This window comes from Homo sapiens, chromosome 15, assembly GCF_000001405.40.
Source record: "Homo sapiens chromosome 15, GRCh38.p14 Primary Assembly".
Classification (NCBI taxonomy): Eukaryota; Metazoa; Chordata; class Mammalia; order Primates; family Hominidae; genus Homo; species Homo sapiens.
Window position 1 is genome coordinate 74,106,522 of NC_000015.10, and position 25,878 is coordinate 74,132,399.

Below are 25,878 nucleotides of genomic sequence, written 5' to 3' on the forward strand. Positions count from 1 at the left end.
TGTAGGAGAGCTGGGCAGGCTGGATCCCACCACTGAGTTCAGTCTTGGGGGTCTCCACCCATGCTAGGCTTCCACTGATGGGATATAAGTGGCCAGGGGGGTTCTTTACGTCCACACAAGAGCCCCATGGTGACCATGAATGGGGTTCTGAGAGGTTAAATGACTTGCCCAGGGCCCCAGAGCTGGCTAGAATTCCTGCACTGCCATATCCAAGGCCACGTTTGGGCCTCCCACCTGGGGGCCCGGACACCCCTCTGCATCTACTAGGCTGGGAAACACATGTCTGCTGCAGCTTCCTCCCAGTGACTTACAGCAGCTGCAGATTTCTGGGGGGACTTCTACGGGGCCCACCACAGCAGAGAGCCGAGAATTCTTACAGAGCCCTTCATTCTCTCTCCGCCCCCTTCAGCTCCGAACTCGTACTAGTTGCTCTGATATAAGAACAGACCTTGGTGAGGGTGTTGGGGCTCTGGTCAGTAGCCCAGGCCTTCAGGAATCAGGTGATGTCAATCTGGAGAGGAGGTGCCTGCTGGAGGGACTGGGGGGAGCAAGCATGGCCCAGGGCCCTGGCCTCCTGCAGGGGCAGCCCCTCTTCCTTCCCAGGGTCCCCTGAGAATCCAAAGGCATCCAGGGTAAAGTGCACTGTTCAGCTGTGTCCTGGGGTCCAGGAAAGCCAAGGAGAAGTTGCTCCACCTGCTGTCCACCAGGCATCCCGGCAAAGAACAGTCTCAGCCCACCCCAGCCCAACACCAGATCCCAGGAACTGATCCACCTGTAAGAGGGCAGCATAAGACTGCCCCATTGTCCCCAGAGAGTCCCCTCAGTCATGGGCTGTGACCAGGGTGCAGGTGGGCCCAGCAGGCTGGCCCAGTGTGGGTATGGCTGTCCATTGGTCCTCTGAAGAGCCTCAGGGGCTTGTGGCAGATGATGTGTGTCTGGGCTTGGAAATAGAGGATGTCCCCCAGCCAGAGGGCAGGGGACACTTGTTTTGCATTCCAGTCCTCTGCAAGGACAGGGACCCCAGGCTCTGGGCACTCCAGCTCTGCCTGCCCTACCCACAGCTTACCACCATTTGGCCCAGGCAAATCGTCCTGGCTCCCACAGAGGGAGCCACCCTTCCCACCTCCTGATGTTTGCCCGCACCAGTCAAGTTCCATTCTGGAAAAACCCTCCACGTCCTTGGGAAGGCACCTCCTCCTTGACCTTTTCAGAGCTATCGTCCCCACTTTCATTTTCTACCTATCATTCGATGCAGAGACCAGCTTCTTCCCTGGGCCAGGGCTGCTCTGGAGGCAGGGAGGTCGTGGCCAGGCCATGGGGTGTAGCAGAGCACTGGGTATGGATCAGGCTCTCCAGGTACACCTGGGCAGAGAAGTCAGAGACCCACAGGTGAATGCCCCTCCTTCCGGCCCCACCCACCTCACAGGCAGAGGGAGGCTTCACAAGGAGGTTGAGGTAAACAGGAGAGCCCGGGTCACCTCTGTCTGATCTCCTGCCCTCTTAGGAGAAAGCCAGAGGTTGGAGCTGGGAGGTGTCGACAGCCCTGGCCCAGTCCAGGTTTCACTGATGAGGCTCAGGGAGGGGCGGGGTCAGCCCAAGTCACTGAGTCCATAAGGGAGGGTTCTGACCATAACCCAGGACGCTAGAGTTAACTGAGGCTGCATCCCTTTCCCACCCAGACCAAGGTAGGGCTTCTGGCTTCTAAGGCTGAGGCCCAGCACACCTCTCCCTCCCCTTGCCTGCAGCTGTTGTCACACATCAAAAGTGAGCTTTTCCCCAAGGGGCTGGAGGCACAGCTCCTTGGACTGGACCAGGTGGCCAATCCAAACAAGTCCCTGTGTGTCCCCACCAGCCAGGAATTCTCACGCCGCACAGCAGCTGGGGGCACCAGGATACCCTGGGGGATTCCAGGGATGAGCCCTCCCTGAGGCTTCCACAGCAGCACTGCCGCCCCCAGACCCCCCAAAGCCCCATGTCCACGCAGCCCTCAAGAATCTGGCCCCTCACACACACCTGCCCCACTCCTCCCACCTGGCTTTCCTGTGAAAAGTGAAACTGGTTCCACCTGGGCCAGCTGGAGAAGGGCCTCTGGAAATCACCATTTTGGGGATTCATTCCAATCATCCATTCATTTATTCACCAAATACCCACTGTCCACCTTTCTGTACCAGGCCAGGGGTAATGGGTCAAGCGGAACACATGTCCCAAGGAGTTTTCCTCTCTTTAGAGACAGACAGGTGGACTCTCAGACTATGAGGTGCCCTCTGGGCTAGGGGGTGCCCAGGGCTGGATGCAATGTAGGGCCTCGCCCACAGGAGGTGCTGGTGGGTACGGACGTGGAGGCCACCACAGGGTGAGGGTATCCAGACAGAGGACCTAGCATGTGCCCAGGCCCAGGGTGTGACCTGGGGCAGGTGCGGGGCTGCTCTATCTGGAAGGCTTCCTGACTCTGCCAACAATAGGCCGTGGCTGGATCAGGCTTCATGTCAATTTTTAACATTTAATACCTTTTGATTATGTAACTAAACATTATTGTGTTAAAAATTAAGAAATATAGAAAAGTTAAAAACACAAAAGACCAGCAAACACCTTCTCTCCCTAAGTAACTGCTTCAACAGTATTTTCTGACTTTTTTTCTCATGTATCTGCAGCTATAAACATAAGTTGCACAAGATAGTATCCTTCCCCATATTCTGTTTTGGAGCTGGATTTTTCACTCAGCAGTGAATAGAGGCAGGCTTTAAACAGGCCACGCATTGTGAGGGCCCTGGGAAAGGAGACTGACCATGTTGCTGGGTGACCTTGGGCAAGTCTCTCCCTCCTCAGAGCCTGGATTTCCTCAGTCCGGTGAAGGGCAGGAAGGGCTGCAGTAGGACTACATCAGCGCTTCCCAAACTCAGAACCGCCACGTGGAGCTGTGTGAGCTGTCACTGCACAACCCCAGGGGCAGGAGCATTCTTGTCACAGCCTCTGTGAGTGGGGCTCCTGCCCAAAAGTGTGCTGTGCCAACCTGGGGCCCACAGGAGGATTTTAGGCGATACGGGGATGAATTGATTTTTACCATTTCCTTCTATCTGTAGTGAATGAGACCGATTCTCACCGGGAGGGCTTGTTAAACCACAGGTCGCTGAACCCACGCCTCAGAGGTTCTGATTCAGGAGGTCTGGGGTGGCGCCTGAGAATCTGCATTTCTAACAAGTTCTCAGGTCATGGGGATGCTGATGCTGTTGGCCCAGGGACCACACTTTGAGAACCACTAATCACAAATTTCCTTTTATTCATTTATTTATTTAACGCAGGGTTTTGCTCTGTCTCCCAGGCTGGAGTATAATGGTGCAGTCACAGCTCACGGCAGCCTCAAACTCCCAGGCTTAAGCAATCCTCCTGCCTCACTTCCCAAGTAGCTGAAACCATAGACGCATGCCACCACGCCCGGATGTTTTTTTATTTTTTGTGGCGACAGAGTTTCACCATGTTGCTCAGGCTGGTCTTGAACTCCTTGGCTCGAGCAATTCACCTGCCTTGGCCTCCTAAAAGTTTCCTTTTTAAATACATGTATTTAGGTTTTAAAAATGAGTTGACTTAAAGCACAAGAATAGATCTTCAACACTAACCACTGGGGAAATGCAAATTAAAACCACGTAAGATATCACTACAGATCTATTAGAACAGCTCAAATCAAACATAGTGGTAATATCAAATAATGGCGAGGATGCAGACAAAACTAACTCATACATCGCTGGTGGGAATATAAAATGGTACAGACACTCTAGAAAATAGTTTGGCAGCTTCTTTAATCAAACATACACCTCAATATATGACCTAGCAATTGCTTCTGGGCATTTGTACCAGAAAATAAAACTGATGTCTGCATAAAAACTCATACATGATTGTTCGTGGCAGATTTATTTGTAATAGCCTCAAACTGGAAAGAACCAAATATCCCCCAATAGGTGAATGGTAAAGCAAACTGACATATCCATTCTATGAAATACTATTCAACAATAAAAAGGGGACCAGGCACGGTGGCTCACGCCTGTAATCCCAGCACTTTGGGAGGCCAAGGTGAGCAGATCATTTGAGGTCAGGAGTTCGAGACCAGCCTGGCCAACATGGTGAAACCCTGTCTCTACTTAAAAAAAAAAAAAAAAAAGGCTGGGCATGGTGTCTCTCACCTGTAATCCCAGCACTTTAGGATCCTGAGGTAGGCAGATCACCTGAGGTCAGGAGTTCGAGACCAGCCTGGCCAACATGGCGATACCGCATCTCTACTAAAAATACAAAAAAATTAGCTGGGCGTGGTGGCGGGCACCTGTAATCCCAGCTGCTTGGGAGGCTGAGGCAGGAGAATCACTTGAATCCAGGAGGCAGAGGTTGCAGTAAGCCGAGATTGAGATCGTGCCATCGCACTCCAGCCTGGGCAACGAGAGGAAAACTTTGTTTCAAAAACAACACAAAAACAAAAAACAAAAGCCAGGTGTGTTGGTGGGTGCCTATAATCACAGCTACTCAGGAGGCTGAGGCAGGAGAATCACTTGAACCCAGGAGGTGGAGGTTGCAGTGAGCCAAGATCGCGCCACTGAACTCCAGCCTGGGCGACAGAGGGAGACTCCATCTAAAAAAAAAAAAAAAAAAAAACAGAAAAGCAATAAAAAGGAGCATGCACAACTTGGATGTATCTCAAAGGGCATTTGCTGAGTAGAAAAAAAAAGCCAATCTCAAAAGGCCACATACTGGGTGATTCCATTTATATAATGTTCTTTTTTCGTTTGGTTTTTGTTTTGTTTTTGAGACAAAGTCTCACTCTGGCCCTACTGGAGTGCAGTGGCATGATCTCGGCTCACTGCAGCCTCCACCTCCTGGGTTCAAGTGATTCTTGTGCCTCAGCCTCCCGAGTAGCTGGGAGTACAGGCGTGCACCATCATGCCTGGCTAATTTTTGTATTTTTAGTGTAGACAGGGCTTGCCATGTTGGCCAGGCTGGTCTCGAACTCCTGGCTTCAACTGATCCACCCGCCTCGGCCTCCCAAAGTGCTGGGATTATGGGTGTGAGCCACCATGCCAGGCCTCTATTCATTCATTCATTCATTCATTCATTCATTCATTCTTTGAGACAGAGTCTTGCCCTGTGGCTTCCACCTCCCAGGTTCATGTGATTCTCCTGCCTCAGCCTCCACGTAGCTGGAACTACAAGCCCGTGCCACCATGCCTGGCTAATTTTTCCATTTTATAATGTTCTTGAAGTGAGAAGATTATAAAGACAGCAGATTAGTGGTTGTCAGGAGTAGGAATAGTGGAGGGGAAGAGCCTGGAATAAGTACAGAGGAATAGCAGGAGGGGGATTTTCGTGGTGGTAGAACAGCTCTGTATCTTGATTGTAGCAGTGGTTAAAGGAGTCTACATACGTGATAAAATGGCATAGACCTAGACATGTGACATTGTTAGATATTGTTCTACACTAATACAAAATAGAACCTTTGGAGGAAACTGAGTGAAGAGTACATGAAACCTCTCTGTACCATCTTTGAAATTTCCTCTGAATCTATATTTCCAAATAAAAGGTTAAAATTTTTAAAGTTGCTTTAGGCAAAAATATTAAATAAAAATAATATTGATTGTATGCAGGTCTGGAAAAACCTTTGACACATTGGATGACTGGCATCTATAACCCATTCAATGCACAATTGCCCCTGGCCAGGCCGTGTCCTAGGCTAGGTCACCTGCTGGAAGATAGGACTCTGGACTATGTCCTGCTTGGCTTTAGAGTAGAGATGCCAGATAAAATATAGGAAGCCCAGTTAAATTTAGATTTCTGATAACAAATAATTATTTAGTAAGTATGTACCATGCATATTTAGGACATACTTATACTAAAAATCATTTCTCTAAATTCTCTTTTAACCATCTTCACCAAGGGTTGATATTTCTCTAAATTCTTTAACGTATGTATGTAGTTACTTTAAAGCTCTTGCCTGCTAATTCCAATGTGTGAGCCATTTATGGGTCTGCTTTTTTTTTTTTTTGGAAATGGATTTTTGCTCTTGTATCCCAGGCTGGCATGCAATGGTGCCATCTCAGCTCGCTGCAACCTCCACCTCCCAGGTTCAAGCAATTCTCCTACCTCAGCCTCCCGAGCAGATGGAACTATAGGCGCATGTTACCACGCCCAGCTAATTTTTGTATTTTTAGTAGAGATGGGGTTTCACCATGTTGGCCAGGCTGGTCTTGAATTCCTGACCTCAGGTGATCCACCCACCTCAGCCTCCTAAAGTGCTCAGATTACAGGTGTGAGTCACTGTGCCCGGCCCTTTTTTTTTTTTTTTTTGAGACAAGATCTCACTCTGTTGTCCAGGCTGGATTGCAGTGGCATGATCTCAGCTCACTGCAACCTGCACCTCCCAGGCCCAAGCCATCCTTCCACCTCAGCCTTCCAAGTAGCTGGGACCACAGGCACATGCCACCAGCAGTCCTGACTGGTTTCACGGAAGACAATTTTTCTACAGACGGGGTCAGGGGTGGTGGTTATGGTATGAAACTGTTCCACTTCAGATCATCAGGCATTAGATTCTCATAAAGAGTGTGAAACCTAGATTCCTCACATGTGCAGTTCACATTAGGGTTCACGCTTCTATGAGAATCTAATGCCTGCTGATCTGATGGGGGGCGGAGCTCAGGCAGTAATGCTCGCTGTCCACCACTCACTTCCTGCTGCGCAGCCTGGTTCCTACCAGGTCACCGACGGGTACAGTCCACAGCCTGGGGGTTATGGGCCCCTGCACACCACCACACCCAACTCAGTTTTGAATTTTTAGTAGAGATGGGGTTATGCCATGTTGCCCAGGCTGGTCTCAAAGTCTTGAGCTCAAGTGATCTACCTGCCTTGGCCTCCCAAAGTGCTAGGATTACAGGCATGAGCCACCATGCACGGTGCATCTGTTTGTATTGACTGGTTTTCTCTTAATTTTAGGATATATTTTCTCGCTTTTTCACACATCTAGTATTTCTTGAGCTGTTGGACGTTGTGAACCTTCATTGTAGAGATGTGGGTTATGTTATCCTACTCTAGTGTTGAGTTTTATTTTGGCAGGGAATTAAATTGCTGTTGGGTTAACTTGATCTTGAGTGTCAAGGCTACATTTTAGGTTTTGTTAGGGTGAGCTGTTTTTCAGTTTTGCTCTTATTCCTAGAGAATCTTCCTTAATCCTAAGGCATGGCCTTCTAGGCCCTCTGTGAATGTCTGGGATATTCATCAAGACCTGAGATTCCAAGAGTGGAGACTCTGGCTGAGCCAGAATTCAGATGTGTTTCCAGCACTCTGTGACCACTGAAATCGCTGTTTAGCTCTCAGCTCCCCATCAGCTGTTCTGTGCTGGGCCTTGCAGAGTCTCAATCCACACATTCAGAGTTTGGGATTTGGCCAAGGACCTGCAGCAACCTCTATAAGATTTCTGGGGCTTCTCCTCTGCAACTCCATCCTTTCTGATACTCTGCCACACACATTTTAGCAGCCCTGAGCAGCAGTCTCTGTTTCCTCCACCAAACAAGACTGATCCTCATTGCCTGAACTCTGCTTCCTCATGCTGTCATTGAGGGTTTAGAAACTTTCCCCACCAGAAAAACACAGCAGTCACTTCATGTGATTCCCTTCTCTCAGATTGTACCTGGAACTGCCTATTGCCCAATGGCTGAAGACAATTTCTTCATGTACTTTGTCCAGCTTTGTAGTTGTTTATGCTGGGAGACCATCATCAATACAGGTACTCCATCATGGCCACAATTCGAAGTACGATTAATATCATATTCATTCTATTCTAAAAGTAGAGAAGACAAAGACCAACAGTTCTAAGAAAAATGGAAAAATATATATGAAAGTTCAAAGAAAAAGAAGCGCAAATGCCACTGACACACAGGAAAAAATGTTTAACTTCACTGATAATAAGAAAGATACAATTTTAGGCCGGGTGCAGTGGCTCACACCTGTAATCCCAGCACTTTGGGAGGCTGAGGTGGGAGGATCGCTTGAGGCCATGAAGTGGAGGTGGCAGTGAGCCGAGATGGCGCCACTTGGGGTGACAGAGCAAGATCCTGTCTCAAAAAAAAAAAAAAGATACAGATGTAAACAACATCCTGCAACCTCTACATGTGGCCATGATTGCTAACAGGGACCAGATTTGCCTCCCACCTTGAACAACTAGAAAAATGGAACAACATATATAAAACAATAGTTTTCAGACATCAGAGAACAGGTCGAGCAGAACTATGATCCCTAAAAGAAGGTGAACCCTACAGTGTCCTCAGTTTACTGCCGGAAGCACTTACAGGCTCCAATGCAGGGAGGGAAATCCAAAGTCCAGTGGTCTTGGTGGATTGAGGAGACAGAGATCAGAGCTTGGGAAGATCTTCAAGGCTGGTAGAATTTGTGAGGTAGAGTACCAGGGAGGAGGTGGGAGAAGAGAGCACATGAACTCTGGAGAGCTATGGAAGATGCCCTCAAGCCTTTGGCAAAGGGCTGATATGGATGTATGTGAGAAGAAAGTACCCAGGGAAAGAACTGCCAGAAAGCAGACAGAAGAATCCCCGGAGCTCACAACAGGCTAGAGAGAATTCATATTCTCACTAGTCAGAATGAAAACACCTCATAATACTTAGGAAATGGAAGAGAAGCTTTAGAAAAGTATTGCCTTAATAGTGGGGCTAAATGAGCACTGGAGTAAAGGCTTCTCTGAAACTGTCCTAACAAAGATTGAAAGCAAACCTTGATAGATCCAACTTATTTAAAGTAACTTAACTAGTGCTGGAACAGAGTCCCTCACTATTTAAAGGAAAACAAAATCCAGCAGTCACGACACAAAAACACAATGTCTACCAGTAAATAAAACATTGCCAGGCAATGGCCAGGCACAGTGGCTCATGCCTGTAATCCCAGCACTTTGGGAGGCTGAGGTGGGCAGATTGCATGAGGCCAGGAGTTCAAGGCCAGCCTGGCCAATATGGCTAAATCCTGTCTCTACTAAAAATACAAAAATTAGCCAGGCATGGTGGTACGCAACTGTAGTCCCAGCTACTTGGGAGGCTGAGACACGAGAATCACTTGAATCCAGGAGATGGAGATTGCAGTGAGGTGAGATCACACCACTGCACTCCAGCCTGGGTGACAGAGTAAGACCCTGTCTCAAATAAATAAATAAAATAACAGGCAAAATAGGGCCTATAACCAGGAGAGAAATAAATCAATGGAAATAGGCCCAGAAATGACAGAGATGATGTAATTTGCAGACAAGGACATTAACATATTATAAATATGCTCCATATGTTCAAGAAGGCTAGAAAAATCTGAACATGATGAGAAGAGAGAAATAGAAGATATATTGAAAAAAAAAAAAAAAAACAACACAGGCTGGGTGCGGTGGCTCACACCAGTAATCCCAGCACTTTGGGAGGCTGAGACACAAGGATTGCTTGAGCCCAGGAGTTCAAGACTAGCCTGGGCAACATAGGGAGACCTATCTCTATAAATAATTCAAAAATTAGCCAGGCATGGTGGCATGCACCTGTAGTCCCAGCTACTCAGGAGGCTGAGGCAGGAGGATCACCTGAATCCAGGAGGTCGAGGTTGCAGTGAGCTGTGATTGTGCCACTGCACTCCAGCCTGGGCACATAGTGAGACCTTGTCTCAAAATAAAACAAAGAAGAATTACTAGAGACGAAAAAGTTAACTCTGCAGATATGGGATTAAAAGCAGTTAAAATACTCCATAAGGACAGGTGTGGTGGCTCACGCCTGTAATCATGCCAGCACTTTGGGAGGCCAAGGCAGGAGGATTGCTTGAGGCCAGGAGTTCAAGACCAGCCTGGGCAACATAATGAGGCCTCATCTCTACAAAAAAAAAAAAAGGAATAAAAATTTTCAAAAAATTTAATGAAGGCAAAATAAAGACTTTTTCACACAAACAAAAGCCAGGATAATCACCAGCAGGCCTGCACTCTTGAGAAGTGTTAAAAGCAGTTCTTTGGTCAGAAGAAAAATGACACTGGATAGAAATTTGGATCTACACAAAGGAATGAAGACCACTGACATAATAAATACATGGATAAATAGAAAAGATCCTATTTTCTTATTTTTTGATGTCTAGAAATAATTGACTGAGGCAAAAGTAATAACATTATGGGGTTTATAACATGTGGAAGTAAAATGATGATGAGAATGGCACAAGGGACAGGTGGGGAAATGTAAGAATACCATCATTATAAGGTGGCAGTCACAGTTGAGGGAGGTGATAAATCTCTGTGATTCCACCTGGAATACTGCATTGCTCCTGGAAGTGGGAAGAGGGAGTTTCAGAGACTTCCCCTGGGCTCTTCCTACTATAGTGGCTCATACCCACAGGTCAGGGAGTAAAGTGAGAGCTCTGTTAGCTTCTAAGCATACTCATATCAATTGCATATTTAGGGACAGAGAAATGACAACCAGATGGGGCTGCAGCCTCTTCATCCAGGGATCCATTTATTACCTAGCCTTCACATGTCCTCAGTCTTACTGGGGAGGGGACATGGTGGCATTGTGGATCTTATGGTGGCACGGTCAGCTCTAATCCTATATGAATGACCCTCAAACAGTCTGGGTATTCCCTTTTCATCAGCTACAGTTACTTTCATCAATGACCCCAGATCCCTTTGGAGAAGGACTGAGGTAATAATTAATGAATATCATGGGGTAATGTTGCAGGATCTTTTTCTAAGAATACCCAGCCTCCCCTACAATCCATGAGCTATAGGTCTCAATTGTCTCAGTCTGAAAACTGGGTAGGAAATTGCAATTTTTTGTTGCAACCTTCTGTGGCCAGATCTTGTTGATGTTGTTTCCTGAATACACAAATCAGGAAATATCTTAGGGCTCACACCTGTAATCCCTACAATTTGGGAGGTTGCAGCAGGAGGATTGCTTGAGCTCAGGAGTTTGAGTCCAGTCTAGGCAACATAGCAAGACCTCATCTTCACTAAAAATTAAAAAAAAATAGCCAGGCATGGTGGTACATGCCTGTAATCCCAGCTACTTGGGAGGCTGAGGTGGAAAGATTGCTTGAGCCCAGGAGGTTGAGGCTGCAGAAAGCTATGATTGTGCCACTGCACTCCAGACTGGGCTACAGATTAAGATCCTGTCTCAAAAAACAAAACAAAAGAAAAAACCACCCTAGTCAACTGCCTATGTAACTCTCCCCTGGAATGCCATCAGTTTGTAGCTAACACAACAGCTCCCTGGAGGTCAGGGCATCCTGGCTATCACTCTAGCCTTCCTACCAATTAAGTTAATTACATCCACCTTGTGGATGATGGTGAAGGGCCACCACCTGGCATCCACTGTTCTCACCTTCCACCATTCCCACTGACACCACGAAGCCTGGTCTCATGGCAGCATCTCCTCTTATCGATCCCGGCCTACCAAGGATAGTGCCACTGAGTCTCTCAAACATTCAGGTGCCCTTCTCGCTAGTGTCTGCTGGCATATAATGAACTGTTGGGGGAAATTCAGCCAGATATCAGGCAAAATTCACCCCCGATATTTCACATAGGTTCTTTTCTATTTTCCCTAAGTGTCGGCTGGTCTGAGAAATAAAGGGAAAGAGTACAAAAGAGAGAAATTTTAAAGCTGGGTGTCCGGGGGAGACATCACATGTCAGCAGGTTCTGTGATGCCCCCCGAGCCGTAAAACCAGCAAGTTTTTATTAGTGATTTTCAAAAGGGGAGGGAGTGTACGAATAGGGTGTGGGTCACAGAGATCACATGCTTCACAAGGTAATAGAATATCACAAAGCAAATGGAGGCAGGGCGAGATCACAGGACCACAGGACCGGGGTGAAATTAAAATTGCTAATGAAGTTTCAGGCACGCATTGTCATTGATAACATCTTATCAGGAGACAGGGTTTGAGAGCAGACAACTAGTCTGACCAAAATTTATTAGGTGGGAATTTCCTCGAAAATAATGGGGCTGATAGAGTATCCAGTGTATCTTAGTTTTTGGATAATTATCACTAGGCATTTGATAGATTGGTTGGAGCATCTGAAAAAATGGGTAGGTAATTGGCAAAAAGAAAAATAAGCAAATGAAGGGGAAAAATCTGAAGCTATTATTATTATTATTATTATTATTATTATTGAGATGGAGTCTCACTCTGTCACCCAGGCTGGAGTGCAATGGTGCAATCTTGGCTCACTGCAAGCTCCGCTTCCCAGGTTCATGCCATTCTCCTGCCTCAGCCTCCCAAATAGCTGGGACTACAGGTGTCCGCTACCATGCCCGGCTAATTTTTTGTATTTTTAGTAGAGACGGGGTTTCACTGTGTTAGCCAGGATGGTCTCGATCTCTTGACCTCGTGATCCATCCACCTCAGCCTCCCAGAGTGCTCGGATTACCAGTCTGAGCCACCGCACCTGGCCTGCTTTTATTATTTTTAATCTACACATAATTGTATATATTTATGGGATACAGTATAGTATTTTTATACATATGTACAATGTGTAATGATCAAATCATAATTAGCATCTCCACCACCTCAAGCATTTATCATTTCTTTGTTCTGGGGGCATTGAAAATCCACTCTTCTAGCTATTTAAAAATATATAATAAATTGTCATTAATTATAGTCACCCAATAGTGCTAAAGACACTAGAACTATTCCTTCTATCTAGCTGTACTCTTTTTTTTTCCCCAGACAGGGTCTTACTCTGTCCCCAAGGCTGGAATGCAATGGTGCAATCACAACTCACTGTACCCTTGACCTCTTGGGCCCAAGTGATCCTTCCACCTCAGCAGCCCAAGTAGCTGGGACCACAGGCGTGCACCACCATGCCTGGCTAATTTTTAAATTTTTTGTAGAAATTGGATCTCCCTATGTTGCCCAGCCTGGTCTCAAACTCCTGGGCTCAAGTGGTCCTCCCAAACTGCTAGGATTACGGGTGTGAGCCACTGCACTCAGCCATGTACTCTTGTATCTGTTAACCTGTTAGCCAACCCTTGGCTACCCCCTCCCCCTTACCCTTCCTCACCGCTAGTAAACACTATTCTAAGCAAATAGATCTTAAATGTTCTTACCACAAAAATAATAATAATAAAAGTATGTGAGGTGATTAAAATGTTAATTAACTTGATTTAATCATTTCACAATGTATGCATATATCACATTGAACACTGGAAATATACACAATTTTTATTTGTCAATTATACTTTAATAAAGATGAGGGAATAATTGAATATAATGTTAAAACAAAAAACAATTGCAAAACCTAAAGAAAATTAATAATCTAGAGCAGACCAGCCTTTTATACATGAGGTCACTGAAGTGCAGAGAGGTGAACTGACTTGTCTCATCTTACACAGCAAGTCACTGGCAGAGCTTGACCTGAAACCCAAAGCCAAGCGTTTTCTATTACCTCCAGGTCCTTCAGGCCAGCCCTCCCAGGGCTCGGCCTTGGGAATTGGTATTGGTGACAAAGGGAATAAAGAGGAACATGCATAGAGCTCTCCATTTAGATTGACATATTCACACTGTGCCAGGGCATCAGCAAGAAACAGTGCAGGCTCCAAGCGCTTGCCCCAACCCCATCCTCTCTCATAACCAACTTCAGCTAAAAGGTCTGAGAAGATAAGGGAATCTTAGGTGACTCTCACTAGGGTGTAAATGACTCCCACCATGATTTTTATCTTATCAAGACATAACTCTAAAAACAGTTTGATGGATACGATGCCAGGCAGTAGGATGAAGACAGATGGGGAAACTGCCTACCTTAGGTCAGGAGTTTGAGAACAGCCTGGCCAACATGGTGAAGCTCCATTTCTACTAAAAGTACAAAAATTAGCCGGGTGTGATGGCGTGTGCCTGTAATCCCAAGCTACTCCAGAGTCTGAGGTGGGAGGATCGCTTGAACCCGGGAGGTGGAGGTTGCAGTGAGTCGAGATTGAACCACTGCAAACCAGCCTGGGCAATAGAGAGAGACTCCATCTCAAAAAAAAAAAAAAAAAAAAGTCAGACCAACCCACGGGGAGGCAGAGGGTAGGTGAGGGGGGTGTGGCTGGGTTTACGGTGGTGCACTCATAGAGTCGGCTTGGGAACAGGGAGCTGTGTGTGTGTGGAAGTTAAAAGATAGGCTTTGGAGGGACCTGGCTTTAAATCCCAGCTTTGCTGTGTGACCTTGGACAACCTGCTTACCCTTTGTGATCTCATATGCAAATGGGGGTGATAATGCATACTTCACAAATTGTGAGGATTGAATGAGACAGCATATAGAAAGTACTAAATTTAGTGATTGGCAACACACTAAAAAATAACTCTATACACCCAGCACCCTAGACCAGAAGGCATTGTGCTGACTCCCAGAATGCACTAGAAAGCAGTCTGCTTCTTCCCTTCCTGCCCTTCCTCTCCTCTCCTCTGTTCTCCTTTCCTCTGTTCTCTCCTTTTTTCTCTCCTCCCCTGCCCACCCTATCCCTCTTCCCTTCCCCTTCCTCTCTCACTCTCCTCTCCCCTGATTCCAGCCCATTTAGTATCTAGGTGACTCTATCCCAAGCTTCTTCTCCTGGTGCCTTTGTCCCCATCTCTCCAAGCCACCTTGATTGTCTCCTCTACCTGACAGGGTCACCCTGCTGGCTGCAGGCTGGAGGGATTTATAGCAATTCCCTCCCTCCTTGCCTGCACGGGGCTACCAGACAGCCGGAAGATATGTGGGTTGGACACAGTGGGGCCCTGGGAGAGGCAAATAAATACATCAAGTTCCCAGCTGAGTCTGGAGATAAGGACGCAGGAAGATGGGGCTGCAGGATTCACAGATGCTGCACTGCACGGGGTCACTCTTCATAGCCTGATTCCTCTGGCTTCCCCAGGAAAGTCTATTTGGGGCACTTTGAAGAGGACACAGAAGAGGACAGCACCTGAGCAATCTTTTCCTGGGAGGCGCTGCACTGAGGCACCCTTCCTCAGCTTGGATTTGGTAGGGACAGGCTTGAGGAGTGAGAATGTGACAGACCCAACCCCAAGATGAGGCAGGAAGGAGGGAAATTGAGCCCCACAGCACAGGAGGGGAAACTGAGGCTGAGAAGGGAGAAAGACTTCCAAAGTCTCACAGGAAGTCAGTGAAGAGAAGTTACAGTCCCCTAACCCCTGATCTACCACTTTAGACCCCCTTACACTGAATTGTGCCTGGCTTCCCCCAGACTTGGCCATTTGAACTGGCCTTGCCTGGGTACAGAATTCCAGGTATCTCTGCAACATGCCAGGATCCACCTCAGGGAGGGTTCTCCTCCCTCCAGATCTCTGCCCCAGCCAGCTGCCTGATGAGATGCCCTCTCTATGGGGCCTGATTTGGGGTCAGCATCCTATTATAGATAACTCAAGGGTACAACATCAGTCTCTCCCACACATGGATGGGATTCTGTTCTAGTGCCCGTGGGCAATGGAGTGGGGGTACGGGGGACTAACGCAGGAGACCTGAAGTGGGGGCGCCTGTCCCATCCACCCCAGAGACAGCTGCCCTTGCCACTGTCGAGGCCACACCTGCCCAAGAGCCTCAAGGGCCTCCTAATCAGCAAGCTCACCCACAGCCACCAGGCTTGGCACGTCCTTGACCCAGACTGCCCAGATAGGCTGGGGACATTTCCCATTCCCAACTGCTCTGTGACCTCTCTTTGGCCTCTGTCTCCCTCCCAGTAAAGTGAAAGGGATAGAGGACCTCCAGGCCCCAAACTCTGATGCTGGGTGACTCTCTGATCCTTGAAGGCTGTCATTGCATCTCCCTAAGGTGGGTGCAGACTTCACAGAGTCTTTCCAGGCTACTAGAGCTGATTGCCTACAGGCAAGGAGAGGGGAAAGTGCTTGGGAGTCCCATCCCCCAGGGGCAGCCCTTGGCCAATGTCTGACTGCTGTGCATCTGTGGAAGTGAGCTTCCCTGCCTCTCATTGGGACAAACAGGATTCATTTTCATTCTGGAGCTTCCTGGGATCAGTCCAACATTGAGACTGTGCCTGAAATCACACCTTTGCTTAGCTTCTTCCTCTTCCTTTCCTACTTCCCCTTCTCTCTTCTGGTTGTTTTTCGCTTGGGCAGTTTTTTAAACAGCCACCTGCACACAAAACATTGTCTCAGCTCTGCTTCTGGGAAGCCACTTTCAAGAGTAAATGAAAACAGTCTATTGAAAGCAAGAGACTGAAGGTCTGAGGGAAAAGTCAGTTTTATTTCAGCCCACCAAGTGCCCTCCCTGTGCTGTTCTGGGCTTTGATGGGGACAGTGGAGGGGAAGGCCCTGCGCAGCCCCCCAACCCCAGGAGCTTTGAGTCTGGGGGATGGAGGAGGAGGAGGAGACTCTGGGCCAGCCCTCCTGCGGTCTGCAGGAGGCCACAGGAGGTGGTGGGGGGTTCTCTGAATGTGTGTTTATTGTGGCCTTTCTGTGTCCTGTGATGGCCCCACGGAATGGAGGACTGAGAGTTGCAGAGCAGGAAGGGGTGGCAGCCTTGTTCTTTCCTGGTCAATGTGCCAGGCTCCCAAAATATTCAGTGATCAGATTTTAACCTCAAATAGCAGTGCCCCAACCGCCCCTGAATCTTGCTATGGAAAGAGCCTTTGGTAAGTGTTTTGAAGCAGGAAGACTCCCTCTGCCCACAGAGCAGTGCACAGCAGTTTGGGGGAGGGGCTAGCTCCTGGGACCCAAGCGGGCCTCAAGAGATGAGGCGGGAGGCGGGTTGCAGTGTGATGGGAGGGGAGACACAGAAATTGCCAAGGGCCATGAGGAAGAGAGGAAGCCACAACCCCAGGCTCCCAAGGAGGGTGTCTTCCTGCAGGAAGCCCTGTCAGATGGCAGCCTGCGGCCCAAAAGCCCCAACTCAACCTGCAAACTGGCTTCTTCTAAGGCCACAGCACCCAAGGGCCTCAAGACACACATCTAGCCCATTCCCCTACCATTGCATGGGTGGAAACCTAGAAGGAGAGAGGGCAAGGAGTTGCTTAAGACCACTTAGAGAGTTTGTGAAGCTGGAGTGAGCTTTCAGGTTGTGGAGCTCCAAGCCCAGTGTGGTCTGCCCCACTTTGCACTGCCCCACATTTTTCCTAAGACCAAGGTAGAATTATTCCTCCTGTTTTCCACCTCAACAGTAAAAGTGCCTCTCTTCTCTGCCATGGGACTGGGAGACATGTTCAGGATGTGAAGTCATATAGGGACATCTTTGAGTTCATAAACATCTCCTGTTCATAAATATCCGACTAAAGACTGAAGCTTCCACTGCTCCCAAAATAGCTTTGGATCCCAGCACAGGCATTTCCAAGAACAGATTTTTATCCTTTCAAGAATTCCGTGAAAGAGCTGGGTGCGATGTGTGCCTCTAGGCACAGCTACTTGGGAGGATGAGGCAGGAGGATCACTTGAGCCCAGGATTTGAGGCCAGCTGGACAATACAGTTTGATCCTCAGCCCAAATAAATAAATAAGTATAAAAATAAATCAATCGATCCAAGAATTCTGTGAAAGCAAAGAATCCTCTGGTTTGTATGCCTACCAGAGTTTCCTGAAGTTGGTCACACACACTGCCCTGACCCTGACTGTGATCTCAGACTGTGGATATAGATTGGTCTAAACTCCAGATAAGGAAGTATCTAGTATGGTCCATTATAATCCTGGTCATTCTCATTTCAATTCATTTTGATACAATATTAGGCTACTCTGAACATGCAATTCCCCAATCCTTCTATTTAAAAGGGATTTCTTGCTTGTAGTGAGCCTTGGGATTGACTCCTCTATAGCCATATCAGGGCCAGATAATTATTCTGAACCAATCAGTTTCATCCCCTTCACCAGTGACTGGTTCAGAGATAAACAGTCCTATGACAATAGGTGTCAAGACCCAGGGGAGAGGCTGTGGCTTCGGAAAAGAGAAGCCTGTCTTTCTAACCCACTAGTCTGTTAACATTACGTTTGTGGCTGGGCACAGTGGCTTACACCTGTAATTTTCAGCACTTTGGGAGGCTGAGGCGGAAGGATCACTTGAGGTCAAGAGTTTGAGACCAGCCTAGCCAACATGGTGAAACCCTGTCTCTACTAAAAATACAAAAACTAGCGGGGTGTGGTGGCACGCACCTGTAATCCAAGCAACTCGGGAGGCCGAGGCAGGAGAATCACTTGAACCCAGGAAGTGGAGGTTGCAGTGAGCCAAAATTGTGCCACCGCACTTCAGCCTGAGTAACAAGAGTGAGACTCCATCTAAAAAGAAAAAAAAACAAAAAACACAATAGGTATGTTTCCTTGGTGGCTCCGGAAGCCCTCCAGTGACACCAAGGCACCAAGGGACCCAGTCCTTGGGCTGGAAGCCCTATTAAGGGTGGCAGAGGGGAGAGATGAAAGAACTTGCAACTGCTGATGTCACTGAGCCGCTGAATCAACAGCCGGGAAGCCAGCCTTGCTTCCTGCTTTGTGAGACGATACACTTAATACTTTCCATCCTTGGGGGTGGGAATCTTGTTATTTGCCGATGGAAATATTACACATCATCCCCAGCCCCCACTCCCCTGCCTCACCCGGCCCTACCCTTTACCATGGCAAGTCCTGCCACGGAGGAGCTGGCTGCCTCAGAAAATCTCTTGGGGAAACCAGTCCTGCCTGAATTGGGGTGGGATTGCCAAGCATTTTGCATCCCGCCCCCCTTACTTGTTTTTTGGTGTTTTTTTGTTTTGTTTTTTGTTTTCGTTTTTGTTTTTGTTTTGAGACAGAGTCTCACTCTGTTGCCCAGGCTGGAGTGCAGTGGTGTGATCATGGCTTATGGCTGCCTCGACCTCCTGGGCTCAAGCGATCCTCTGGTCTCAGTCTCCCTCCAGAGTAGCTGGGACCACAGTTGTGTGCCACCACGCCCAACTAATTTAAAAAAAATGTAGAGATGAGGTCTGACTATGTTGCCCAAGCTGGTCTTAAACTCCTGGGCTCAAATATTCCTTCTATCTTGGCATCCCAAAGTGCTGGGATTACAGGCATGAGCCATCTTGCTCAGCCATGTTCCCCTTTGAATGCAGGAGTATCGCCTCTTCCAGGCAGGAGTTCCTCTTATTCAGTGAGACAAGCACAGACCCAGATAATTACATGAGCTGCCACTGGAAGAGCTGCTGTTAATTTTGATGGCAATAAAAGGCCTTGCCAGTACGTTAAGCTAATTTCATGAAAATGCTGGGAGGAGGGTCATGGGCTGGATCCCAGATTATTAATAATGTCGAGCTTCATTTGAACCATTCAGAAAATTCCTCTCAGTTGCCTCCAGCAAACTGCAACAGGTTGCTACTTTCCTCTGAAATCAACAGTCTTCTCATAGGCAAATGTGGATTTTTTTGTTTTTCCCTAGAAAATAATTAAAGTCACAAAGTCCAATAAATACTTAAACAGAATGTAGTTTTAATTAAAAACCTTCCACCAAGTCTGCAGTTGCGGGTCTCTCTTTGCAAACAGGCATGCTGACAAGCATCAGTCTAAGTATCTGAAACTAGAAACCTTTACAAATAATAATAGTAAATCTGGTTTCTACATATACCCATGGTGTGTGTGTGTGCAAAGGGGGTGGTGGTGGTGAAGAGGTCTGGGGGCAGAGCCAAGGTGCTCCCCTGTGGAGGAGGCAGGACACAAGCCTGTAGGGGTGTGTGCAGCAGAACCTTTTATCAAACTTGTGTCCCACTCTGCAAGGCAATAATAATGGCTAATTCAGCTATTATATAAAAAACGTATCTCAAGTACTGAGCACTAAGTGTCAGGTACTAAGTGCTTTGCGTACATTGATTCATTTAATCCTCAAGGTGACCGAAAAGCATAGGTATTTTTTTTTTTTTTTTTTTTTTTTTGAGACAGAGTCTCGCTCTGTCGCCCAGGCCGGAATGCAGTGGCACTATCTCGGCTCACTGCAACCTCTGCCTCCCGAGATTCTCCTGCCTCAGCCTCCTGAGTAGCTGGGATTACAGGCATGCACCACCACGCCCGGCTAATTTTTGTATTTTTAGCAGAGACGAGGTTTCACCATGTTGGTCAGGCTGGTCTCGAACTCCTGACCTTGTGATCCGCCCGCCTGGGCCTCCCAAAGTGCTGGGATTATTACAGGTGTGAGCCACCGCGCCTGGTCAGTACTCTTATTTATGCCTTTTTTTCTTGAGGCACAGAGAGGTTAAATAGCTTGGCTAAGGACACACAGTCAGTACATAATGGAGTCTGACGCTAGGACCTGCCCGCCTGACGACTACATAGAACCTGTACAAGGAAAGGCCGGAGGAGGGAGTATAAACAGGGCCTGGCTTCCCTGAGGAGTGATCTTTCGACTGGAAATTAGAAAAGGAAAGCAGCTTCTTGAGGGTGTGGGGCTGGAGAGAACATTTGTGTGTGTGTGTGTGTGTGTGTGTGTGTGTGTGTGTGTGTGTGTGTGTGTGTGTGTCTGTGCGCGCAGAAGCTGAAAGATGGGAAGTAGTGAGTGTTCAGGGGCTTCTGACTGGAGGGCAGCCTTGGGGAAGGTCTCCGCAGCCTTAACCGGCTGCTATGCTGGGGATGTTTGATGCCCATCTGGGCCCCGGCTTTCTTATTCTCAGAGGCCCTTCCCACATCTTTAGGCAAGTCCATTAAATCCTCCGCGTGCCACATTAAAATACAAGGGCAAGTACAACTCTGAGTGCAGTTGCAACAGAATCGTTTGCACAATGTCGCATGTCTTAAACATTCAATCAAACATCGATTACTTCCAATTTTGCAGTTTTCTTTGCCCCTGTTAGCGCCAACAGATTTTTTTTTCCAGATCTCAGACATTTATTTTAATAGGCCCCTGACAAAGTCATAAGACTCAGAGAGAAGGGAGAGTGGGAGAGGTGTATAGGAAGGTTTTGTGCCAGGGACTAGTCGCTCAAGAATTAGGAGACGCCCTGGGCACTGGAAACTACGCAGCGCGAAGTAGGGACAGCGCCTGTGTTGTGTAGTGGACCAGAGGTTGCTGATACCTGGGACATAGACTGGGTGGGCACGGGAAGTAAAGCCTCGGGACTTTGGTTAAGCGCGCCCCACTGGCGTATCGCGCCGCGGGACTGCAGAGCCGTGAGCAGCGGTCGCCTTGGTGCAGGGTTCCAGCCACATCTTCCTCGCCCAGCCAGCACCCTCTGCCGTTGACCCGCCTCTGCGCCCGGCAAGCGGCTTCCAGCAGGGGGCGCGCGCGGACCAGGCTTGGGCCCTAGAACAGCGCGGATGGAGTCGCTGGAGCAAGTCCCCAGATCCAACCGGTTTCAACCCTCCCCACCCTCCCGACGCTCCGGGTTCGCGACGTTGAAGTTAAGGGTCGATCCGCAGAAAGCGGCCAGGGGCTCCAGCTCTCCATTCCTGGGTCTGTCTGGGGTCGGCTCCAGCCTGGTTAGAAGCCTTAGTCTGGATTCGGCAGATTCTGAATCTGGGACCCTCTGCGCTAGCGGCTTGGAACCTTGTCACCCTCCCCTCCCCCACCCCTACTTCCACACACCTGATTAGTTGTCTGTTTCTTTAATGATCAAAGACGTGGGCGGCGGCGGGATGAGGTCTTGGTTCCCGGCTCCACAGCCCTCCCTAACTGTCATTATTAACGTTATAAACATTAGACCCGCTTCTGCGCGCCGGACGGCGCCGGACGAGGTGCGCGCAGTCTTCTAGCTGAGCTCGGAGGCAGATCCAGAAGTCGCGGCTCCCACCCCAGGCCTCGGCGGACTCTGCCTGGGGCGACTCGGGCTCCAGCCCTGCCCGGGCGGGCACTGGGCTCTCCAGGGTCGAAGGCAGGGGTAAGGGGCGTCTTTCCCCCAGGGCAGCCTCCGGGAACAAAAGCATTTGCTGTAGAGTGAGCTAGAGCCTCCGGGCCCGCGGGAGTCAGCTCCCGCCCAGGGGTGGTCACCGCGTCCTTAACCACCCCAGGAGCCCCGTCTCCCTGCCGAACTCCTTGGCTTCTGCAACCCTGTCAAGACAGCAAGGAAAGGGGGTCTTCCCTGGTCCTCGGGCCCCGAAGTTTCGGGGTTGCTTATAGGACGGGTTCCTGCAGTCCAGGGAAGCTCTGGGCAGATAGCGAGCCCATTCTCCCTTCCATTACCCAGATTCTGCCTCCCTGCGGAAGGCAAAAAAGAAAGAAAGAAAATAGGTAAAAACCGGCGGAGGGCCTTGAGCCTCCCCGCCTGGCGCCCCTCACTCAGTCCCGAAAAGTCCCCTGGACACGCCATGCCGGACCGGACTCAGCTCCCGCTGCTGGGCCCCTGCCTCCAAATATCCTTCCCAGGCACAGGCTCCCAAGACCGCCCCCTCAGGGTTCCCAACACCCGGACAACTGCCCAAGACGCCGCTCCCCGCCCCCACCCCCACCTTGTTCGGCAGACAAAGAAGGGTGTGCTGGCCCCGCCGTCTGCCTCCTTCTCCCGACCCCACAAGGCCTAGAAACCTCAGGGACTCACCCCGGGCTAGGGACCCAATCCTGGCTGTCCCACCACAGGATCCCCGGCAGGGACGGGTCACAGTGCTCTCACCCCTCGACCATTTTCGAAGACACCTTCCCTGAAAGGCGCCTTGCGCCCTCCCCATGGGTCGGCGGGGGGGGACTCCAGGCCCGAGCAGGCGGTGTGAAGTTCTGTGTTCTGAACTGGGGCTGAGCAAGATGCGATGGTCTCAGCCCGCTGGGCCGCCCGTAGCGACGGCAGGAGTAGGGGAGAGGGAGGGACGCTTGGAGTGTGAGCGCACCAGTCTGTTCATATTTAATTTACAAAGCAGCCTCGGAACCCCGGGCCGGGTGGTCTCTTTAGACGCTGCGCTCTTAGCCTGTCTCTCTTCCCCACCCCCTCCCCTAGCTCATTAAGATGCTCAACACTCAAATCGGGGTATTGATCTCCACGGAAGCCCCAAACCCTCGCCATCGAGAGACCCCCATGGCCCGGGGTGATGGCTGTGGGGCTTGGTGCTCCCAGAGAGCTCAGTGGCTACAGAATGGGTGGGGATTCTGCGTGTCTCCCGGAGCCTGAACCCCTTTCCTGGTTATGGCCGGTAGCTGTCTCCAGGGCTAACGTGGGCAGCGCAGGGGGGCGGAAACCGGGTTTTAGCCAAATGCCTCGACATCGCCGCGCCTCCGCCTCCTCGTCGCTGAAAGAAATGTCGGGGTTTCATCAGAGCTAGGGAGCGACAGTCGGGAACAGCGAGTCTGCCGAAGCCGGCTGTTGTGTGAGGGTGTGAGACGGCGGGGCGGTGAGGGGCCACCGCGGCTTGGGGGATAGTGCGTGTGGGGTTGACCGTGTGTCTGCTTGAGAGGCTGTGAAGATATGGGGGGCAGATATGGGAGAAATGCTCGGGCCTGAAGTCCCCAGCCCACCGTGCTCAAGAGTAGCGGACGTTTTGCCACCATCCTTGTCTGTGCTACTGTCTGCTGCAGCTTCCGTGCCCCGTTCTCCTGGAGCAGGCAAGACCTGGAGTGAGGTGCTTGGGTGCGCTCGAGAGAGCTTCCCCCTGCTCCACCTGTCCCGCGGTGCGCGCAGGCCAACGCGTCGGGCAGTGGGCTTCAAGCGCTGGTTTAGCCACAAAAGACCAGAAGTAAAGAGTTCCGGCTTAAGAGGCTGGGCAGGGCTGCGGTGGGCTGGGGAGGGGGGTGTCCCTTCCCAGCACGCCCTGCAGGGCTGTGCGTTCTGGTGTCGGGTTAGACTAGCAGGCGGGGCGGGGGGGTTGGGGCGGCGGGGCGGGGGAGACTAGGGCTTATATCAGCCCAGATCCAGGCAAAAATGGTAGGGAGGGTGCGGCGCTCTGCTAACACTATCAATTATGCATCATGTTGAACGTGGCTTCGGGGAGGAGGCGGCTAGCAGCGGGGGGTGCGGGAGGGAAGGGTCCGCGCGAGCTCGGCTGCGCGCAGCTCAGCGGGTCCCGCTCGAAGTCTGTCGGTGCCACCGCCTGCATTTGCAAAAAGAGTTTAAAGGCAAAGACACGCCTTCCCCCCCCACTTCAGCCGCGCGCCTTTCCTTCCCCCAAATTCCTCAAAGATGGTTTGTCTCACGTGTTGCAGGGCGTAAAAGCGGCTTGCATTCAATTAGCAGCGAAGCTCGCGGGCGCTGGCGGGACAGGCGCGTGAGGGTGAGTTCGCGTGAATGTGTGTATGCGTGTGCGAGAGGAGAACGGTAAGTGTCCCGGGTGCAGGTGTGCCCGTGAAAATGCGTGTGAATGTAGCAGGGGCTGAACACATTGATGCGATTATTACCTGACCATGGATGATTGTAAACTGTGAAGGTCGGCTATGGGGAGGGTGTGAGGGACTGTGTGCGCGAATGTGTTTGAACGTGGGGTGGGGGAGGTGGTGTGATCAGGGACAGTAACAATGCCAGCGGCTGTGTAAATGTGGGGGTACGTGGGTTATGGGGGTGCAGTAGGCTGCGAAGAGCCCAGCCAGGACAGTGGGCGTGGGATGCCCCTTATGACCGACGTGTCTTGGCCTTGGGGAGGGTCTCCGTGGCTTTAACAAAAGTAGACCAAGCAGGAGGCGGGAGAGGCTATGCGCGTCCCCGCCAGGCCCGGGAGTGCGCAAGGACTTTCTCCAACCTGCAGCCAGAGAGGTGGGGGAAACGGACGCAAAAGGAAAAATTGAAGTGGTACTTTGGGGCCACCAAGTCCCCAAACTTACCTGTCCCTTTCTTTGCCCCCCGCCCCCCGTTTTCCCCACAGCCACAACACATGCGTGTATCTTGCTTGGGCTATCTTCCCTGCTCTGCCACGCCGGGTCTGGAGAAGGGGTTTCAGCCCCAGGACATTTACTGAGAGTCGGCGAATATTGGGTAAGCAATGGGGGCCACCCCACAACCTTGACCCAGGTGGGGTTAGGTCCAGCCTAGGGCACCTGATGGGGTGCGGGGCTGGTGGGGGTGCTGTCTGGCAGGAACCGGGAAGGGAGGGAAGGGACCCTCCCAGAAGAGCAAAGGCAGAGTGAAGGAGCAGGTTCCCAAAGACAAGTTGTGGGAGGGGCTCTGCCAAACCTGACAGGCGCTCCAAATGGGGGCAGGGAGTCTGTGCAAGTTCGTTTGTGTGACCGGGCTTAAGGTGTTATGGGGAGGGGGTCCTTAGGCACCGCAGAGCTGTGGAGAAAGGCGCAGAATCTTTCATCTTCTCCAGCTTCATTAGCTAGTGGCAGCCCCATGACCTGTTGGCTGAGGACGCCTCTGCCCAATGGGAGCCGCCTGAGGGACCTGAGAGGAAGCTCTAGTGACCGCTTTCCCAACACACCTGGTCCAAACATGGGGGAGAACCTCCTTCCCCGTAAGGAAGGTTGGCAGAGCAGCCCTTCTTCTCCCCTCACAGGAGCTGCAGCCCCGGGCAGGTGACTTTGGCCTTAGATGCAGTAGGGCATGGGGATGGGCTTCCCCAGATCCCACATCTCAAGTCGTGCAGTGCAGGTCCTCCTATTGCTTCTCTGCTGGGTTTCGGTCACAGTGGAGGGCTGTATGCACACACAGGCACATGCCTGTGTTCTTGTGGGTGGGTCGGTTCGTGTGAGGACTTGTGTCCTTGTGTCTGTCAATTGTCACAATGGACAGGAAAGCGCTTTGTACCGTGGTGGAAAACACGTACAAATGCTGGTTAAGAGAACAATGAGGTCTGCAGGGTCTATTGTGTCCATGTCTGGGTGCATATGTGTTTGTGAGTTTAGGAAATGTGTTGTGAGCCTCCTAATTGAGCATCAGGTCCTCTAAACCCCTGCAGAAGTTGGCGGTTTGATTATGAAGCCCCGCGTCTGTTTGTATTGTTGTGTGCCTGCATGGGCGTGTGTGCGAGTGCTGTGCGTGGGACAAAGGTTCCAGGGAGGACAGCCAGTCACGGACAAAAATGTCCTTCTTGGGTAGGATCCATTTCACCAGGTTAAA

The 25,878-nt window shown here is 50.1% G+C and overlaps 1 protein-coding gene and 1 long non-coding RNA gene across 17 annotated transcripts in view, besides 6 other annotated features; one reads left to right on the forward strand and one right to left on the reverse strand.

Annotated features, from left to right (window-relative positions):
- ISLR2 (immunoglobulin superfamily containing leucine rich repeat 2) overlaps window positions 1–25,878 on the forward strand; it is a 41,509-nt gene that overhangs the window by 6,204 nt on the left and 9,427 nt on the right. For 2 of the 15 annotated variants that reach the window (XR_931875.4, XM_017022446.3), the window contains exons 1-2: window positions 24,033–24,100; window positions 24,686–24,795. The gene's annotated coding sequence lies outside the window, so the exon portion shown is untranslated. Of the gene's footprint in view, window positions 1–21,579; window positions 21,787–22,852; window positions 23,567–23,727; window positions 23,755–24,032; window positions 24,254–24,294; window positions 24,577–24,685; window positions 24,796–25,878 lie in introns of those variants that run through there. The other 13 variants (XM_024450003.2, XM_024450004.2, XM_011521841.2 and 10 more) reach the window with 12 other exon arrangements.
- Window positions 4,210–4,402: a silencer, noted in NCBI's record as "fragment chr15:74403072-74403264 (GRCh37/hg19 assembly coordinates)". NCBI's record gives its function as "represses an EF-1alpha promoter that drives an FKBP-Casp9 reporter gene in an ReSE screen in phorbol 12-myristate 13-acetate-treated (for megakaryocytic differentiation) K562 erythroleukemia cells {active_cell/tissue: K562(+PMA)}" and the evidence as "EXISTENCE:reporter gene assay evidence [ECO:0000049][PMID:32094911]".
- Window positions 16,082–16,688: an enhancer, noted in NCBI's record as "H3K4me1 hESC enhancer chr15:74414944-74415550 (GRCh37/hg19 assembly coordinates)". NCBI's record gives its function as "activates a minimal SCP1, AML or CMV promoter by ChIP-STARR-seq in naive H9 embryonic stem cells {active_cell/tissue: H9 hESC(naive)}" and the evidence as "EXISTENCE:reporter gene assay evidence [ECO:0000049][PMID:30033119]".
- Window positions 16,394–16,443: an enhancer, noted in NCBI's record as "active region_9742". NCBI's record gives its function as "activates an Ori minimal core promoter by ATAC-STARR-seq in GM12878 lymphoblastoid cells {active_cell/tissue: GM12878}" and the evidence as "EXISTENCE:reporter gene assay evidence [ECO:0000049][PMID:35858748]".
- On the reverse strand, window positions 19,852–22,757 carry LOC283731 (uncharacterized). 2 transcript variants are annotated; one of them, NR_152622.1, is made up of 3 exons: window positions 22,444–22,757; window positions 21,495–22,103; window positions 19,852–21,212 (listed from the first exon to the last, which is right to left on the reverse strand). It is a non-coding gene; the product is annotated as an uncharacterized LOC283731 (long non-coding RNA). The 2 variants fall into 2 exon arrangements; NR_027073.1 differs by having other exon boundaries at window positions 19,852–22,103.
- Window positions 23,371–24,280: an enhancer, noted in NCBI's record as "H3K4me1 hESC enhancer chr15:74422233-74423142 (GRCh37/hg19 assembly coordinates)". NCBI's record gives its function as "activates a minimal SCP1, AML or CMV promoter by ChIP-STARR-seq in primed H9 embryonic stem cells {active_cell/tissue: H9 hESC(primed)}" and the evidence as "EXISTENCE:reporter gene assay evidence [ECO:0000049][PMID:30033119]".
- Window positions 24,281–25,189: an enhancer, noted in NCBI's record as "H3K4me1 hESC enhancer chr15:74423143-74424051 (GRCh37/hg19 assembly coordinates)". NCBI's record gives its function as "activates a minimal SCP1, AML or CMV promoter by ChIP-STARR-seq in primed H9 embryonic stem cells {active_cell/tissue: H9 hESC(primed)}" and the evidence as "EXISTENCE:reporter gene assay evidence [ECO:0000049][PMID:30033119]".
- Window positions 24,682–24,881: a silencer, noted in NCBI's record as "fragment chr15:74423544-74423743 (GRCh37/hg19 assembly coordinates)". NCBI's record gives its function as "represses an EF-1alpha promoter that drives an FKBP-Casp9 reporter gene in an ReSE screen in HepG2 liver carcinoma cells {active_cell/tissue: HepG2}" and the evidence as "EXISTENCE:reporter gene assay evidence [ECO:0000049][PMID:32094911]".